The sequence below is a fragment of the Homo sapiens genome, chromosome X (genome assembly GCF_000001405.40).
Source record: "Homo sapiens chromosome X, GRCh38.p14 Primary Assembly".
NCBI classification, from domain to species: domain Eukaryota; kingdom Metazoa; phylum Chordata; class Mammalia; order Primates; family Hominidae; genus Homo; species Homo sapiens.
The window spans coordinates 6,140,806-6,160,265 of record NC_000023.11 but is presented as its reverse complement, the minus strand read 5'-3'; the positions used below and the strand labels follow the sequence as shown (position 1 = coordinate 6,160,265).

The following is a 19,460-nucleotide window of genomic DNA, read 5'->3' as shown; positions in this document are numbered from 1 at the left end:
ATTTGTGGGTACATGAGATATTTTGATATAGGCATATGTGTAAAAATCACATTAGAATAAATGGAGTATACATCACCTGAAGCATTTATCATTTCTTTGTGTTACAGACTTTCCAATTATGCTTTTAGTTATTTAAAAATATACAGTAAATTAATGTTGACTGCAGTCACCCTGTTGTGCTATCAAATACTAGATCTTATTCATTCTGTCTATATTTTTGTGCCCATTAACCATCCTCACTTCTCTCTCTCTCCCATTACCCTTCCCAGCCTCTGGTAGCCATCATTCTACTCTCTGTCTCCCTGACTGCAACTGAAAGAAATATTTTTAAAGAATAGGCTGGAAGGCCACACTGACTCTCACTGTTTCTGGCACACTAAACCTTGCCATTTTCTGCAGTAGGGATTGTCTCGCTTCAGTTATGCCTTGCTACTTCAGTGAAGGACTTTCTGTTCCCACTGGGCTCCTATACTGAGTCTGCTTTGGAGATAATAGTCTGAGATGTCAGAGCGTCTTAGTGGTGAAAGCAACTTAAGAGGTCACTGGCACAAGCCCTCGTTTTGCAGTGGAGGGAGTTGATGGCGAGGGCACTTGGCTAATTAGTGACCAGGGCTATAGCAGGCTCAGGTTCCATGACTGTGCTTACCATGGCTGGCAGGATCCCAGGGCTTTTCTGTGTAATATGTGGGTGGATGGTCTATTGCCTTGGGCTTGTCGCATAATCATGGAGAAAACAGTTTATATTTTCCCTTCAATTTTTAAATCCAAGATAGTTTGATAGCACATGGGAAAATAAAGTCATTGAGTAAAACTTATACGGATGAGAATCTTTTGATTAAATTTTCATTGTAAAATAATCATAGTCATAAAAAGTGTATCAAAATGTGTATTTGGATATTCATTTTAAAGAGTAAAAAATAATCAGATACATAGTATTGTACCCACTGACAGACAAGGAAAGAGAACATTCCCACTGTTTTTATATATCAGTGTGAGTTGCTTCCCTCTCTCCTACCTTTCAGTGAAATCTAATCCCCCAAGATTTGGTTTTCATACTGTCCTTGCTGTATATTTCAGGACAAACATAGCTCTGAGCAATATATTGTTTAGTTTTACTATTATGTAAATAAAATCACACTATTTGTAGTCTTCTGTGACTTGCCTTTTATGTTTGAGATTTTCCCATTTTCCTCCATATATCTGTATTTTATTCATTTTTGACTGTTTTGTAAAGCCTTCTGTTTTAATATGCCAACATTTATTTATTCATTATCCTATTTATGGATATCTGGATTGTGGCAATATTTTTTGCAATTATAATTGGGGCTTATTTATCCTCAGCAAACTAACGCAGGAACAGAAAACCAAACACCGCATGTTCTCACTCATAAGTGGGAGCTGAATGATGAGAACACATGGACACATGGGGGAGGGAAACAACACACAGTTGGGCCTGTCTGGGGATGCCCGGAGGGGAGAGCATCAGGAAGACTAGCTAATAGATGCTGGGCTTAATACATAGGTGATGGGTTGATTTGTGCAGCAAACCACCATGGCACATGTTTACCTATGTCACAAACCTGCACATCCTGCACATGTACCTTGGAACTTAAAAGTTGAAGAAAAAAAAATGGGGCTGCAGTGGACATTTCCGTGCATGTTTCCTGATGCATGGGAGTTCTAGTTGCTCCACATCGTTGCTCAGTACTTGGTATCATTGTTTGTTTGTATTTTTATTAATCCTATTGTGATTTCATCTGCATTTCACCAATAATGAATGACATTGAGCCTCTTGTCCTATGTTGAGGCTATCTGTAGATTTGAGGACTCCTTCCTGGATGTGGATTTATGGTGGAGAAACCAACAAAGATGGCTTTGAGTGTAGGCTGAATTACTAGAAAAGTAATGATCTAGTTATCCAAATATGAAACAAAAGCATGGAAGCAGTTTGGGGATTGGAGAATGAGATTTTTAGGAGCACCATAAGATGTCTATCTGACTATATTCTTGAAGAGAAAATAGTCATGGCACTACAGGCATGGTGGCACATACCATGTTATCAGCTGGCACTACAGGTGTATGCCTCCATGACCTTGAGGACATATGACTTTGAGTTCGGTGAGAGAGATGAACACAAAGCCTAGAGAGATCTGCAAATCATTTGATTTAGATTTAGAAATTGTGTCTGGAAAACATTTAATTTCACACAGAAAATCAAGCATTAACGCACTTTTATTATTTGCCAGTCCTTGTGCTAGCTTTAGATATGCAGAAGATGAATAAGAAGAAAAAATGCATCACAGGTAGGGATAGATACCTTCATGAGAATGTAAGCTCCTAGTGGGCAGGAACTCCTTCTTTACCCCATTACGTACCCTTACCTAGCATAGTGATCTTTACGGGATACTTCTGTGGTCTGAAGGCTTGTGTCTTTCCAGAATCCCCATGTTGACGTTGTAACCCCAAAGTGATGGTGCTAGGAGGTAGGGCCTTTGGAGCTGATGAGATCATGAGGGTGGATGCCCCAGAATGGTATTAATGACATTTTAAAAGATACCCCAGGGAGATTCCTTGCCCTTTTCCCCTTTTCCAAAGTTATAAGGAAAATACAGCCCTCTAGGAAGCAGGCCCTCACCATACACTGAATCTACCATGCCTTGATCTTGGACTTCCAGCCTCCAGAGCTGTGAGCAATGAATATCTGTGGTTTATAAGCCCCCCAAGCTATGATATTTTGTTACAGCAGCCTGAATGGACTAAGCCAACTTCTAAGTTTTGGTGTTGTCTTATTTCTTTGGTCGGTGTAGGATCTTTCTGTCCACATAGTTTACTCTAGAAAGATGTATGCCCTATTCCTCATGGTATATTTGTCTTTCCTATCTGTGGAATATCCTCTTATCCAATTCGTCTTGGCTGGGCAACATATAAGCCATTAACTCTTTACCCTTGGGTTTAGTTTGGGTTCTGCTGAGGCCCCTGCTGAAAATTCTGGTTTCTACAATTATGGCTCATGCATGTTCCTGACCCATTAAACTTCAGTGGAAGAACAGAAATGGTGAGGGAGGTGATGGAGTTGATACCTTGAGCTGCCATATGGTGCAAGATCATCTTGAAGATAGAACATTTGGCATCCTTTTTTTTTTTAAGAGATGGGGTCTTGCTAATTTGCCCAGGCTAAACTCAAACTCCTGGGCTCAAGTGATGCTCCTGGCTCAGCCTCCCAATTACCTGGCAATACAGGCATGTGCCACCATGCCTGGCCACATTTTTACTCTCCAATTGCTTAATATATAGTAAAGATAATGGTTCAAAATGGTAAATTTTTTTTGTGTGTATACCAATAACATTTTTTTTTACCTTAAACATATTCAATCTTTATTTGACAATTTTTTAAAATTTCAACTTTTTTTTTTTATTCATGGGATATATCTGCAGGATTTTTTACCTGGGTGTATTGGATGGTGCTGAGGTTTGAGGTACAGTTGATTCTGCCACACAGGTATGGAGTATAGCACCCAACAGGTAGTTTTTCTACCTTTTCCCCCTCCCTCTCCCTGCTGTAGTAGTCCCAAGTTTGTTATTGCTTTATGTCCATGAGTACCCAATGTTTAGCTCCCACTTCTAAGTGAGAACATGTGGTATTTGATTTTCTGTTTCTGCATTAATTAACTTAAAATAATGGCTTCCAGCTGCATCCATGTTGCTGCAAAGGACATGATTTCATTTGTTTTTTTTTGTTTGTTTGTTTTGTTTTTTTGAGACGGAGTCTCGCTCTGTTGCCCAGGCTGGAGTGCAGTGGCGCGATCTTGGCTCACTGCAAGCTCCGCCTCCTGGGTTCACGCTATTCTCCTGCCTCAGCCTCCTGAGTAGCTGGGACTACAGGTGCCCGCCACCACGCCCAGCTAATTTTTTGTATTTTTAGTAGAGATGGGGTTTCACTGTGTTAGCCAGGATGGTCTCGATCTCCTGACCTCGTGATCCACCTGCCTCGGCCTCCCAAAGTGCTGGGATTACAGGCGTGAGCCACCGCGCCGGCTGATTTGTTTTTATGGCTGCATAGTATTCCGTGGTATATACGCATCACATTTTCTTTATTCAATCTACTGTTGATGGACTCTTAGATTGATTCCATGTCTTTGCTATTGTGAATAGTGCTGTGATGAGCATACATGTGCATGTGTCTTTTTGGTAGAACAATTTATTTTCCTTTGTATATATACCCAGTAATGTGATTGCTAGGTCAAATGGTAGTTCCTCTTTTAAGTTCCTTGAGAAATCTCCATACTGCTTTACACAATGGCTGAACTAATTGACGTTCTCACCAACGGTGTATATAGCCTTCTCTTTTCTCTGCAGCCGCAACAGCATCTGTTGTTTTTTGATGTTTTATGAATAGCCATTCTGACTAGTGTGAGATGGTATCTCATTGTGGTTTTGACTTGCATTTCTCTGGTGAAAAATGGTGGATTTTTAAATGGGATTTCATTTTTAGATTTAATAGAAACTGCATAGGTGACTGTGCAAAGAACTCTTAAGATTTGACAAAAGGCAAATTAGATTGTAATCTCCTTTATGTAGGAGGGGAAATAAAAACCAGAATATTAAAATATCTACATGTACAAAAATAGACAAAGTGGCAGATTGCTGGTGTTGGATGGATGTTGAGCAGGGATGGAGGACTTGTGTGTGCATGCATGCATGGCCATGCGTGGAGAGTGGTCATTCATTTTGGTAACAGCATAGAGCTTTGGGCTTCAGAACAAAAGATAAGCCACATCCCACTCAGGTACCCTAAAATGTTGTCTCCACTAGACACAAAAGAAAAGGAAGCCAGAGATGTCTGTAGCTTATGCAGAGTTTTGGGAATAGCTATTCTAGACTTTCTTAGTGAACAGTATAGAAGGATTATTGTACAAGCCCAGTAATTTGGGCAAGGATCAGATTCTGTTGCTTTTGTTTTCTGGATGCTCCGTAATGAATGTGAGATGGAAGCGGATGTCTCAAGTGCTTCTTGTTCTCAGAAACCTCCTGGCAGCAGACATCTCAGTGGGCCCAGACGTTCAGCGTGGCTGGAAGTAAAACACAGGGAAGGGTGCTCTTTCTCAGTTATCCTATTTTTTTTTAAAAGCATCTACAAAGCTTCCTGTTTTCTAATATATTCCCAGGCCTTTGAAAGACAAGGCCATAAACACCCAGGAGATGTGACTTTATTCTTTTTAAGGTCCAGATACCAAAATGCCTGTCATCAGGGCTCACCTTAATTAAATACGTATCTTAAAATTAAACCAATCTCAATTTAAGGAATGTATACTTTGGGGAGAAATTTATTACAATTTTTATTCAGAACACTTTAAATTCTGATAGGCCTGAAGAGTGTGAGCCTCACCTTAATTGCAACCTGAGTCAGAATAACTGCCCTGCAGAGAATCATTTAAAATACCCAATCAAGTTATAAATTAGTCAAAATGCCATTCTGAGATATTATTATTTTATGCAGTCTTTGCAGAGAATACATGCTATATAGCCCTTCTTCACTCCCAAAGTATATGTATATATTTAATGAAGTTTTCACCTTTTTTATTAAAATTTTTAATCCATTAACAATTTTAGAATTCATTTTGTAGCATATCCTCTTTATCTTAGAGATATTAAATATCTACCTATTTATGAATAACTATCAATAACCACGTTTCACCCTTTGTGAAATCCTTTTCAGTTTTTGAAACTCACATGGGAGATCTTGTTTTTTTTTTTCCCCACAAGGATGTAGGTTGGTTAAATTTACAGTGGTTCTTTAATGATGATAATGCACATTTGATTGATATCAATAATAAATATTGATATCTTCAATATCAACATTTCTTGTAATGCTAAAAATTTACAAGTTGCCAATTTTTTGAATATGACTATATTTTCACACACACACACATACACGACAGCACTAATTATATTCACTAAATATACCTACAGATACTTAATCATTTACACAGCCACTATAATTTTATACTTGATGCCTTAAACCAGTAATTCTCCCTTGAGGGTGGTTTTGGCCCCTGGGCTACCTAGCACTATCTAGAGACATTTTCCATAGTTAAAACTGGGTAGGAGGTGCCACTATCATCTAGTGAGTAGAGGTCAGGGATGCTGCAAAATACTGTACATTGTACAGGCGACGCCCCCACAACAAAGAATTATATGGTTCACAATGTCATTTATACTGAGATGGGGAAACGCTGGGCTTTAATTATAGCAATTTTGTGCAAATTAGCCAAATTTCAAAAAACAAGGGAGTGAAAAAAGATAGCTCTCAACCTGTGAATATTGTGAATGCCCAATCTAGACCTAGTAAGTGTACAGATGCCCTTGGGCGCGTCTTCTTAGGTTGCTGCTGCTTCATAATCGCTCACTGCCCATCAGGACCTTGTGGGATGTAGATTTAGGCAGAGGAGGGTTTTGATCATACAGCTGGATCAGTCATAACCAATAAGTGACTCATAGTCTCATTCACATTGAGTTTGAGAATTTAAGGTGTGGGCTGGAATTCCTTATGGAACTAACTTTATATACCTTGGAAGAAGTCCACCCACTGAATTCTACATTTATTGAGCTCTGTGTTTCAGGGAATGTGCAATACCTTGAGGATACATACTATCTCATTTAGTCCCAAGTAGCTTTTAAATATTTGAGAGTGGTTTTGGCCCCCAGGCTGAAAGTAACAGCTACCTCTGGTTAAAAATCTTTCAGGAAAGAAGCAACCAAACAGGACATCACCTCTTTGTTTTTCTTGTCTGTCTCTTAATTATTCAGAAATGGGATTGCTGTATGGCAGACATCCAAATGTTGTCTACAGTAGAATTCAGAGATAGAAGCAAACACCTAAATCAGTCATTGGTGAGATGCTATTTGTCACTTTCAAAGTTATAATCCAGATTTTCAGTGCGTTTTCATCCAACTCTGGTGAACTTTTCCCAGGATGTCATGTACTATGGAATTTCCCCCCATTGTATTATTGTTCTGTGATAGATCCAGCTCCAATATGTTTTATTTAAAAAAAAAAAGCCATGTGATGTATTCTGTTCAACTGATTACTTAAATGAAATGGATAATTATTTTCTGATGCAGATGCTCTGAATAACCCACAAAATCCTTAGAAACACATTTGTATATTTTGAGTTGAAGAACATGCTAAAGGCACCCTCCTTGCAACACCTAGTGAAATATTTTCTGTTCCTAGGGGATCATTTAACAACATAATGTCCATTCCTGCACAGCATTCTTTTATTGTCACAGGAGCAGCGACTTATGTAGGGATAGTTATATTATCTATGTAAAGACAAATTGAGGTGGTGACCCTTTAAAAGTTGACTCCAGGCTCAATGGGAAAGTAACTCAAATGCAGCCTCAGCTTTTTAAATGGGCTGAAGGGTGAAGAGGATACCCTCTAAGGCATGCAGTGGCTTACTGGAAAGTCAGGATAATTGTATCAACACTTTTAATTATGAATGAAGTCTTCAAGAAACTAGCACTACAGCATGTACTTGAAATGCACCATCTTGTATAGTGTTTTACAAGGAAACTGAGATTCAGAGCAGTGAAGTGTGTAGCCTAAATATATATGCACTTGACCAGACCAAGGAGAATTTGTGTCCAAAGTCTACACTCTTTTCATTTGATGATGTTCCCTTTGTGGCCTGATAAATATCCACATCATGATGCCAGATTGACTTGGATGCATGCTTCCATCTTTCTCCTACTGGAAAACTTTTAGAGCTCCATGCATGTCTCCTTAGGAAAATGTGACAATTTCCTTAAACATTTGAGAAACAGTGTTTTGGAAGTACCCATGTATTGATAACCAGTCTGGTAAACAATAGCAAAACTGGGAGGTGTTGTTACTATAATCTGCATAACCTGTATAACTCTTGAACATCTGTTTGATCATTCAACACAGATTTGTTTAGTGTTTTCTAAATGTCAGGCATTGTTCATGGTGATAGGATGTACAGAGGAATTAAGACAAGTGGTGGCTGCTAGGCATGGTGACTCATGCCTGTAATCCCAACACTTTGAAAGGTCGAGGGGTAGGATCCCTTGAGGCCAGCCTGGACAACATAGGGTGACCCAATGTCTACAAAAAAATCCAACGAATTAGCCGGACATAGTGGTGCATGCTTGTGGTCCCAGCTACTCGGGAGGGTGAGGCGGGAGGATGGGTTGAGCCCAGGAGTTGGAGGCTGCAGTGAGCTATGACAGCACCACTGCACTGCAGCTTGGGCAATATAGCAAGACACCATCTCTAAAAAAAACAAAATAAATAAAGACAGGTGATGTTCTTGCTGTTGCCTACTATGTGGAGATGGCACTATACACATTTCTATACAAATGAATAGGAATTTCATAGAGAGATGTTGTGGATTTCGTGGAAGAGCCAGCCAGTGTTCTAGGTGGTCGTTGTGTGGCTTCATTATTCTTGTCTGCTTTCTTCCTCTTTTAGGCTGCCTTGGAGTTTTCATAAGAAATTGTCCCTGGAGGTGTTGGATGATCACAGCTTCCTTGGAGCATTGCAGTTGCTGGAATCCAGTTTCAGGATTAAGGGAGGGCTGCCTCCTTGCAATGGGCTGCCAAGAAAACGGCTGTGCTTGTTCTTAACCTCAGGCTCTGTCTGTGATCAGTCTGAGAGTCTCTCCCAGGTCTACTGCTCCCTGGAAAGCCCTATCTCTCTGCAGGCTCGCCTCTGGGCTTTGTCTCCTTGGAGCCACATCACTGGGACAGCTGTGGATGTGGATGCAGATTTGAACCATGTCACGGCCCCAGGGACTGCTATGGCTTCCTTTGTTGTTCACCCCGGTCTGCGTCATGTTAAACTCCAATGTCCTCCTGTGGTTAACTGCTCTTGCCATCAAGTTCACCCTCATTGACAGCCAAGCACAGTATCCAGTTGTCAACACAAATTATGGCAAAATCCGGGGCCTAAGAACACCGTTACCCAATGAGATCTTGGGTCCAGTGGAGCAGTACTTAGGGGTCCCCTATGCCTCACCCCCCACTGGAGAGAGGCGGTTTCAGCCCCCAGAACCCCCGTCCTCCTGGACTGGCATCCGAAATACTACTCAGTTTGCTGCTGTGTGCCCCCAGCACCTGGATGAGAGATCCTTACTGCATGACATGCTGCCCATCTGGTTTACCGCCAATTTGGATACTTTGATGACCTATGTTCAAGATCAAAATGAAGACTGCCTTTACTTAAACATCTACGTGCCCACGGAAGATGGTGAGTACCTCACTGGAACAGAAAACAATACCTCTTGTGCAGTGTGTAGAGAGATTTGCTAGGAGGGTTTTATAATGTCTCATGCATGATCTCTTCTATAACCCGTTTATTTTATTTTAATTTATTTTTCATATTCCAAATGCAATTCTTGCAGCAACTTACCACATGTTCCACTTGTATGTATTGGGCCATCTACTGACTGGACAAAACTATAAATAATAACTTTAATTATTTTCATATATTGCCTTCTTAACTTTTTATAATGCTTATTTGCAGATGAAAATAAATATGAGCATATAATGTTGCATGTTATACCTGAATCATCTGTAAAGGAATGAATCTATAGAAAAATAATAGAATTAAGTACACTATTATGCTCCAGTTTGCAAACTGAAAGATAGAGAAAATGGTTCTTTCTGCCTTAATGACTTAAGATATTAGCACCTTTTTTGAGTTTTCAAAGAAAAACTTGATTGTTTTTAATATACAAGTAGGGGATAGTTCATACAATGGTTGGATTTCATTGTTTAGAATCGGTTTTCTTAACGTAAATTTGGATGTTCTTTTCTTCCAATATTCGCTGCAATCAAGTGGCAAAATGTAATCAGATGATTCTAGCTACATTAGAGATGAATGCGTTTGTATTTTTAAAAATTTCCTTTTTTATATAAAACAACAATGAAAGTCTGTAGACACAATAACGTTTAATATATTAACCTAATGTTAGTAAAACATGAATAGTTTTATGTCTGTATAGATTTCAAATTCAGATTTCCTTGGAAGAATAACCAGACTAAAGTATGCCATAATGGTATCACATTTCCCAGTTAGCATTTCCATATGCCGTTTTTAGATGAGGAGAAAGAACAACAGAGAATAAAATATACCTGGAAAGAAAGGAAGTTAATTTGTGGGAATGATAGATGTATCTAATGTAGAAACTAGAGTGTGTCCTTTGTATAAAGTTCTTCGTGGAAAGTGTGATAAATTTCTTTTATGGAGAAATTTCTTCTTCTTCTTTTTTTTTTTTTTTAAACTTCAATCCCTGGAAAACATTTTTCAGTAAGATTTGGCTGAAAATAGTAAATCAACAACGACGTTAATCCACTGATCTCCAAAATTGTTTTGCATCTATCAGATTACTCTTTCTCCATATAAATGCCAGATAGTTTAAGTAGAGTGTCATGAAAAACCATACCAGGGTTGTGTGTCACTGAGGTTACAAATTGTCATTGAGATTACAAAGAACAGCCCAGAGAAAGAAATTAAAGGATTCTGCTTCATTATATTAGTGGTTTCTGGCATATTGCCCTTGTCGTTATGGTGACAGACCTCTCAATTATCTCATAAAGTCCAGGTCTGAATGTGATTCAAGGAGTTAAACTGACATTTGGACGCTGTACTTCCATGGGGTGTTCTGAGCTGTCTCCGTGCCTAACAGTCCCTCTTTGTGTGTGTGTGTGAGATGAATAAGAGCTCTCAAAAGCAATTAGGGTTCTCATTTGAGCAGCCACCTGGGTTGAGATCTTTCTCATAATGAACTATTCAAACAAAAACCAAAAAGAAAGGAAGACAAAAATGGGGAGAAAACCCCCCAAACAGGACAAAGGGTTAAAATTGCTTTCATAATACTTTGGATGTGCTAGAGTCTGGTGATTTTGTAGAGCTAGCCTTGGCAACAATGAATGCACTTCAAATAGAAGGCCTCCTCATATAGGAGTTGGACAGAATGAGACCACCCATGAAAAAGAATCAATAGCCTCCCTGACTGCAGAGCCCTGTATGTACAATTGTGTGGATGGAGACCACAAACGGTGTGGCCGTTTCATTGCAATTCGGTATTGAATTAAAATTTGAGGAATGTAAATATGTGAAAAATGCTATTCAGTGAAAAAGTAATCCAAACTTCATAATAAACCCAGTTCCACTTGTTTAGATCTTTAGGCTTTTTGAAGCAATATGTGCATATGATCTTGACAAGGGAATCAGAAATCTAATAGTGACTGAAAAGGTAGAATCGATCTCCCCACGATGTGTAAACTTTAGAATTTTGCTGGTGAGAGTTCAAAGCTACAGCCCTGCATGTTTGTACCATCCACAAGTCACAGCCTATTGGGTTAGGAGTTTTTATTTTTGGTTGCTTGCTTGTTTTCTTAACTCTATCAACGAAGAACCAGTGCAGGCCAGGCGCGGTGGCTCACGCCTGTAATCCCAGTACTTTGGGAGGCCGAGGCAGGCAGATCACGTGGTTAGGAGATCGAGACCATCCTGGCCAACATGGTGAAACCCCATCTCTACTAAAAATACAAAAATTAGCTGGGCATGGTGGCGCGTGTCTGTAATCCCAGCTACTCAGGAGGCTGAGGCAGGAGAATTGCTTGAACCAAGGAGGTGGAGGTTGCAGTGAGCCACAATCGCGCCATTGCACTCCAGCCTGGCAACATAGCAAGACTCCGTCTCAAAAAAAAACAAAAACAAAAAAAGAACCAATGCAGAGCTTTAGATGTTTAATTATTAATTATTCACTAAATGAATGAACTCCGCATCCACAACATATTGAAATGTTGGCATCATGCTGATTCTCTCCAAAGGCCTTCTCTTAGGGAGTATCTCAGTTCAGATCAATGCTTTTATTTAGCAGGAGAGAGAGCAATATTATTATTTGGAATTCAAAATTCCACTCTGACCAGTCTGACAAAGCCAGAAAGACAAATCTAAACAATAACAACAGCAAAAATCTACTTTTTTTGTTTAGCTTTGTCTTTCTGCCTTGATCAGATTGGCTCAAATTTCTATGTTTCTACTTTCATAAAATGTGTAGGTATATTAAAAATACAAAAATAGACTATTTTAGATACGTACTTATCCTTACATTTAAGAACTAACTTGCATGAGGAAAAGTGTTGGAAATTTCTTCGTAGTACAATAGTTTATGAAACATATATTTTTTTTCTGTAGAAAACAATACTTTTTATAATTCCCTTTAAAATAAATCAGGTCTTGCTGAAGGTGAGTCTTTTCATTTAAACTGGCATCATGATCTACTAAACTTAGGCTTGGGTCTTTATAACTATTTCCTACCTTACAAATTTCTTTATTTAAATTTTCATAGGTTATTAATTTCTCTTTGTTGTTAGACAACAGGCTAATTAATTAACTTGAATTGCATATTTAACCTTTTGATAGGTGCTCAAATAAGGTCAAAGTCAGTCAAGCCAGTCGGAAGCTCTAGTAGGACACGTGGGCCATTGTTGACAAGGAACAGTTGGAGACCGATTGACCGAATCTGCATGGTGTGTGTGTGTGTGTGTATGTGACAGAGAGAGAGAGAGAGAGAGATAGCAGAGAGAGTGTGACTGAGTGACTACTTTGAGGAAGCAATGCAGAATATGGCTTGGTAGCTTGATTAAACATAAATTGTGAAAGTCAAGCCGAGAAGTTCCAGTCTCACATACTAAGTCCACTTGAGTTCATACATGAGGGGATGGCAGTACAGTTCGTGATTCGTCTTGGTCCCCAAGGAGACTGAACACAGAAAGATGAGTTATGGAAACACTTAAGGTTTTTAATGAGAACCAGTGATACTGTTTAGAAGTGAGGTTAAAAAGTAAGGGAAAAATAAAAGACACATTTTGAAGGAGTTGCTCAGACAAGATATCATATTAAATATAAAGCTTGGAGGAGAAAGAGCCACAAGTGAGTCCAGATTGCCTTGGGAAATGGACAGACCCATGGAACCACTTCCTGAGTGACCTACACCTGTGCTTTTTCTCTGGATCCTTGGACATACATCTTAAGGTCTTATTCTTGAAAGATTTCAGGGGCGAGAAGCCCTTCCATTCTTCATCATGGGACTAAAAATACTGGGAAATATAAAGGAAAATATAAATGAAAGTCATTATCGCCCAGGCACAGTGGCTCATGCCTCTAATCCGAGCACTTTGGGAGGTCATGGTGGGTGGATCACTTGAGGTCAGGAATTCGTGACCAGCCTGGCCAATATGGTGAAACCCCGTCTTTACTACAAATACAAAAAATTAGCTGGGCATGGTGGTGTGCGCCTGTAATCTCAGCTACTTAGGAGGCTGAGGCAGGAGAATGACCTGAACTCGAGAGGTGGAGGGAGGTTGCAGTGAGCCGAGATCGCACCACTGCACTCCAGCCTGGGCAACAGAGTGAGAATCCCTCTCAAAACAAAACAAAGCACCACTCATTATCATTGTATTTTCATTGTAGCATAACAGCAAATGCCATTATGATTTCTAGAAAAGTGAAATTTTGGGTTGTTTTTTTTTTTTGCTAGCAATACAATTGAAAAAGGAAGATATTAAAAAAGAACAGATTATTGGATGCAAGGTGTCCCTATCATCTTTTTCCCCCAAGATGACACCTGACTCTTTGAATACTATGACTTAAGTAAGCTTGCTATGATTGTTGATTGAGGACCTATTTGGTGAAAACATGGAGCTTTATGATGAAATATAAACAGACACGACATGGACAATGACCTGTAGGAGTTTGCACAGTTAATAAACCTAGAGGTAGATAATAAGCCAGAGCATCCTAGTTAGGGAACAAAGAAAGCTCTGTGACAGCTCAGGGACAGGCTATTTTTTGAGGAAAAACTTGATGGAAGCTGTTAAGTTGTTGAGCTGTGCCATGAAGAATATATGGGTGATGGAAGGGATTCATCTATTAAAGCATCTGATGAATGGAACATTTGAACACAGAAATCTATGTTAAGCAGTTTGGTGTCAATCGTTGCTGTTGTTACTACTTGGGTGTTAAGTGTGGCGTGGTAACAGAAGCTGTGCTTTAGCATGGGCTGTTTCTGGCAGTGCCATATCATGAAAGTTCTTTTTTTTTTTTTTTTCCTTTTAGAAACAGGATCTTGCTCTGTCATCCAGGGTGAAGTACAATGGTGCACTCATAGCTCCCTGCAGCCTCAACCTCCTGGGCTCAAGGGATCCTTCCATCTCAGCTTCCTGAGTAGCTGGGACTACAGGTGCACTCCACCATACCTGGCTAATCTTTTTAGTTTCTGTAGAGATGGGGTGTCACTATGTTGCTCTGGCTGGTCTTGGGTTCAAGTGATCCTCCCACCTCGGCCTCCCAAAATGCTGGCATTACCAGCATAAGCCATTGCACTGGGCCCATAAACTTTTTTATGTTATCCACAGCTGCTGACCCTATACTTTCTAGGGTAGACAAGCTACCTAAGATGAAAGGGTGGCAGGAGAACAACAGGGAAAGAAGCTGGAAAGTCAACCAGCTTTGCTAGCGATTTTACAAAAAAAAAATGTATTCGCTTCTTTTATAGATACCACTGGATCTAATTCAAGATATAATTTATAGCATGGTTTTCATCCTTGAATAGCTCCCATCTTTTCTGAGGGTCTTACAAACTTTTCTGGCATTCTGCATTAGTCAAGAGATATTTGTGTTCAAATGGTAGAAGGCAACCTAGCCTCAATCTGACTTTGAGGGAAAAAATGGAAATTTATTAGAAGGGCTATGGGATATCCAAACTTACTGTAAAAGTTGAGAAATCAGATTGGCAGAATGGCAGGGATGCAGCTAGACTTTAGACACACCTGGAAGCATTGAATCCAAGGACATCACCAATCTTCATATCTCGTTCTTTGCTTCTTTCTGGAAATAGGCTTGCTTTAAATGGCAGTAAGAGGGTTCTCTGCAGTTTTTGTTAGTTGCATTTTGTTTTTCTCAGTACCACCAGTGAGGGACAAAGTTCCATAATTCCATACTAAAAATCCCAGGGCGGGGTTTTGATTGGCCCACTTGACTCAGGAGTAAGAAGAGATAAAACTGGGCTGTTCTTGTGTATACCAGTTGGCAGGGGGAGAAGGACAGTTCTCACCATAAGGTGTCTGGAATGAGCAGGCACTACTTCACTTCACTGTCCAAAATATTTTTGAGCATCGATTATATGCCAGACATGCCTTAGAGGCTGAGATTGTGAGAGATACAAGCATTCCTAATTTTGAGAGATAGGTACTTGTAGGCAGAAAAGTCATGGTCCCTGAGAGATGTGCAAGCACCGCCCTCCACCCCTACCCCCCAGCCAACTCGCCCATTCCTGGAACCTGGGAATAGGTTGGAGGCATGGCACCTGACTTCTTCAATACTCTGCCTTAAATAATGACTTCAAATGGCAAAGGGGAATTAAGGTTGCCGATTGAATTAGGTTTGCTAATCAGCAGACCTTCCAATAGGGAGAATCTATCCTGGATTCTCATATATATTAACAGAGACCCTCCACTGTGGATGCAGAAGACTCAAAAGGAGATCAGAGTTGGTGTAAAGCAACGTGAGAAAGAGATACCTGGACATTGCTGGCTTTGAATATGAGAGAGCCAGGAGAAAGGAACGCAGGTGGCAGTCTCTAGAAGCCGGAAGAGACAGGGAAACAGATTTTTCCTTAGAGCTTCCAGCAAGGAGCCCGACAGCCCTCCTGATACCTTGATTCTAGCCCCATGGAAGAAACTCTGACCTTAGAACTGTAAAAGAATAAATGTGTGCTGTTCTAAGCTTACTAAGTTTGTGGAGATTTGTCTTAGTGGTAATAGAAAACTAAGGAAGAGTTTTATCACCCTGTAATATTATTTGAAATTCATAATGAAGTATTACTCTGAAAACAAAAGTTCAGAGTCTCTGAAGTTGTTTGGTTTCGGGCCTTCTGGACCCCTCTCCATTCTGGGATTCTACTTCCAAGAATTTCTAGTTGAAAACACCCTTGGGCACTTAGAGCTTTCTACCTTGCTCAAGCATGCTAAGGAGATCATATCAATTCTTATTTTAGGGCAGACATTTTTCAGATTTTTAAAAATGTATTTTTTAAAAATTTGAGAGATAGGTACCCTGTCTCTGAATGGGGTCTTGCACTGTGGCCCATGCTGCAGTGCAGTGTCACAGTCATAGCTCACTGCAGCCTCGAACTCCTGGCCGCAAGTGATCCCCCAACTTCAGCCTCCTGAGTGTCTGGGACTATAGGCTGAGACTACTATATTGAGGTTCAGAGAAGAAGCATGTCCAGGTGTCTGCAAATTAGAAAATGGTGGCAGATTTTTTAAAAAAGAAACGATGAAAAATTATCCCTGATTAGATTTACATTACAATTTTCAGCCACCATGACTGGCTAGTTTTTAAATTTTTAAAGAGTTGGAGCCTTCCTATGTTGCCCAGACTGGTCTGGAACCCTAGCCTCAAGTGATCCTTTCATCTCAAACTCCAGAGTTCTGGGATTACAGGTGTGAGCCACCACGCCCAGTGACATTTTGCAAATTTGACATTTTGCATCATGTTAATATAGCCTCATGGCCAATTGTCCTAAATGGTATATTCAAAAGATAATACTGTTTTGACACAGAAAGGTACCAAAGGGTCATTTAGAATTTTTTCAGGAAGCTATAACAGATTTCCAGAGTAGATGGCTTTGAATGACATATAACAAAATACCGAAATTGTTCTTTCCTCATCTGTCTCCACAGAGTTTCACTCAAGATCGCGGCTGCACCTTTACATGTCTTATTTTCCTACTTACAAACACTGCTGACAAAATCCTCTGTGTTCCCCACTCCTTCCGGCTACACCTTAAGCTGTGGTCTCTTCTGGGCAAAGTGATTCTCTGACCTTTTCAAGCTACACCTTGTTTCCTCCTCCAACCAAAACTTGTTTGCTGGAGTTGAAATGCCAGTTTAGCCCCTTAGCAGATCAGTCATTATGGGCAAGTGACCCAGCTTGCTTGGGCCACAGTGTCCTTATGTCTAAAATAGAGGCGGCTGAGAGGTTTAAGGTTTTAATCCATATAAAGTGCTTAGTAGCCAGCACGTACAAGCACCCTGTAATCTGATGTTAGTGCAGCATCATTAATAACAGAAAAGGGAACCCGAAAATTTCAGCAAAATTGCATGTGCATAGTGGGTCTGGTATGTATATTAGTCTAGGCATAATAAATGTTGAACGTCTGTGACATAACTATTGTAGTAGTAGAGGGGTAAGCTTAAGAAGTAAGACCAATAAATAGCCCATCATTTCTGGCAGTTTCTAGTATGGTTTTAACAAAAGGGAATTTTGGGAGGAATAACATTTTTAAAAAGAGCCCACTATTATCATTCTGCTTTATTCCTAACTTTAGTCCTTTTGAGCCTGTGTTATCAAATGGATTTTGAGCATATGTGAATTAGAGAAATTAATCACTAGGAAAGGATTAGAATTAACTTTTTTGGAAAAGTTCCTTAAACCGTGAAAAGGCAGTAACACCATTCTTTGTGTGTGAGATTAAAGAGAAATTAATTTTCTTTCTCTTCTTGTCTAGACACACAAAGTCCAATTGTACGCATACAGTCACAAAATATAGGTGAAAAACGAAAACTGTGTTAACACGGTGAGACAGATGTTTTAACCAATCAACATCAACATGCAACTAGGTGAAAATAATTAAATTACTCCAGTTTTCATCTGTCAGTTGGATGTTTGACATTGTGTAGACACAGCTTATAAGTAAAGATAATTATGAAAGATTATTAAATAAAGATCTCCCTGACACGGATTAATTGAAAAGTATTTAGTATTTTTTGTAAGCACAGTTAAACTGGAGTGGATTTCCGATAGCATGTGTCTCTCCCCCAGCTCAAAAAGCTTTCAGCAATTTGAATACTGAGTAATAATCTTATTGAGGGTTTAGAAATTACATATGTTTGGAATAATACTATTTAGTAGTATGAATTATGCCTGTTTGAATAATTAAGAAATATCTTTTCCTAACAAAGAACATTTTCCCTTATGTACATAATCTTCCAATACATGAATTTTAATTCAATTCAATTTGCAATTTAGATTCTTGTCATAATTTGAACAAATACAGATTACCTAGAATATATTAAAAATCAAATTTTCACATAGTGCATATCATAAGAATTTTTTTTTAGAAATTGTCAGAGATAGAAACTTTAGGTACAACTAGTCCACTGGAATATTTGGCCATTTAAAACAATTAGCTCATTATTTATTTGTGGAGTCTTGCTTCCTAAGATGTTGTAGTCTTATTTGTTGTCAATTAATATTGCTGGTTTGAACATGGTTATTTATTTTCCGTACTATTTTAGCCAAGCTATTAATTTTTATTATTTATTTTTTTAATTTTATTTTTTTTATGTTTGAGACAGTCTTGCTCTGTCACCCAGGCTGGAGTGCAGTGGTATGATCTCTGCTCACTGCAGCCTCCACCTCCCAGGTTCAAGTGATTCTCCTGCCTCAGCCTGCCGAGTACCTGGGACTATAGGTGCCCACCACCACACCCAGGTAATTTTTGTATTTTTAGTAGAGATAGGGTTTCACCATGTTAGCCAGGCTCAAACTCCTGACCTCAGGTGATCCTCCTGCCTTGGCCTCCCAAAGTGCTGGGATTACAGGTGTGAGCCACCGTGCCTGGCCTAGCCAAGCCATTTAACCTTTAAATATTTAGTGTCCTCAGCTATTAAAAATAAGAGTAATATGATTATACATCCTATGAATTTGTTTTATAATTATTGTGATTTGGGAGTAAACAACTATATAAGAAATAATTATAAAAGAGATAAGATTAGTGCATATTAAGACTTTGATGTCAGGTTAATTGAATGTTAATCCCATGACTTTATCTTTCATTGCAAGATTCTTTGCCTGAGTGGGGTACTGGAAGCCATTGTTGAGAGTAGATCCGATCTTACTAGACTGTTGGCTGGTTCTCCTAAAACCAGGCTGTTTTCATAATGAGTTAGTTTAACATTTTGTCTTTATGTTTAAGCACCCCTTTCCTTGGTGCAGTCACAGCCAAACTGCAAACAGAAATCGAGAAGTTGTGAGCTCCAGATTTGAGAGCCACAGAGAGTTTGTGAGATCAAAAACATCCACTCTCAGTAAATAAATCAGAGCTACCTAAATCACACAGTCAGCTTAAAGGCAAGGGAACCAGAGGGAAAAACTCCAAAGGAGTGATCTCTTCATGCAATTGCTACTGGTAAAATAAAGCAAAGATGAGACAGTGTAGTCTCCACCTTATTATTTCAATCTAATATTCTATATTGAGGTTCAGAGAAGCAGGTCCAGATTTCCACAAATTAGAAAGTGGTGGCTTGCTCTTGTAATCCTAGCACTTGGGGAGGTCTAGGTGGGTGGATTGCTTGAGCCC

General features: G+C 39.4%; 1 protein-coding gene across 17 annotated transcripts in view; it reads left to right on the top strand.

The window, feature by feature from the left end:
• Positions 1–19,460, top strand: part of NLGN4X (neuroligin 4 X-linked) — a 338,826-nt gene that overhangs the window by 68,602 nt on the left and 250,764 nt on the right. For all 17 annotated transcript variants that reach the window (NM_181332.3, XM_005274564.4, NM_001282145.2 and 14 more), the window contains one exon: positions 8,495–9,271. In NM_181332.3, the coding sequence (NP_851849.1) occupies positions 8,800–9,271 (472 nt within the window). In that variant the 5' untranslated portion in view covers positions 8,495–8,799. The remainder of the gene's footprint in view (positions 1–8,494; positions 9,272–19,460) is intronic.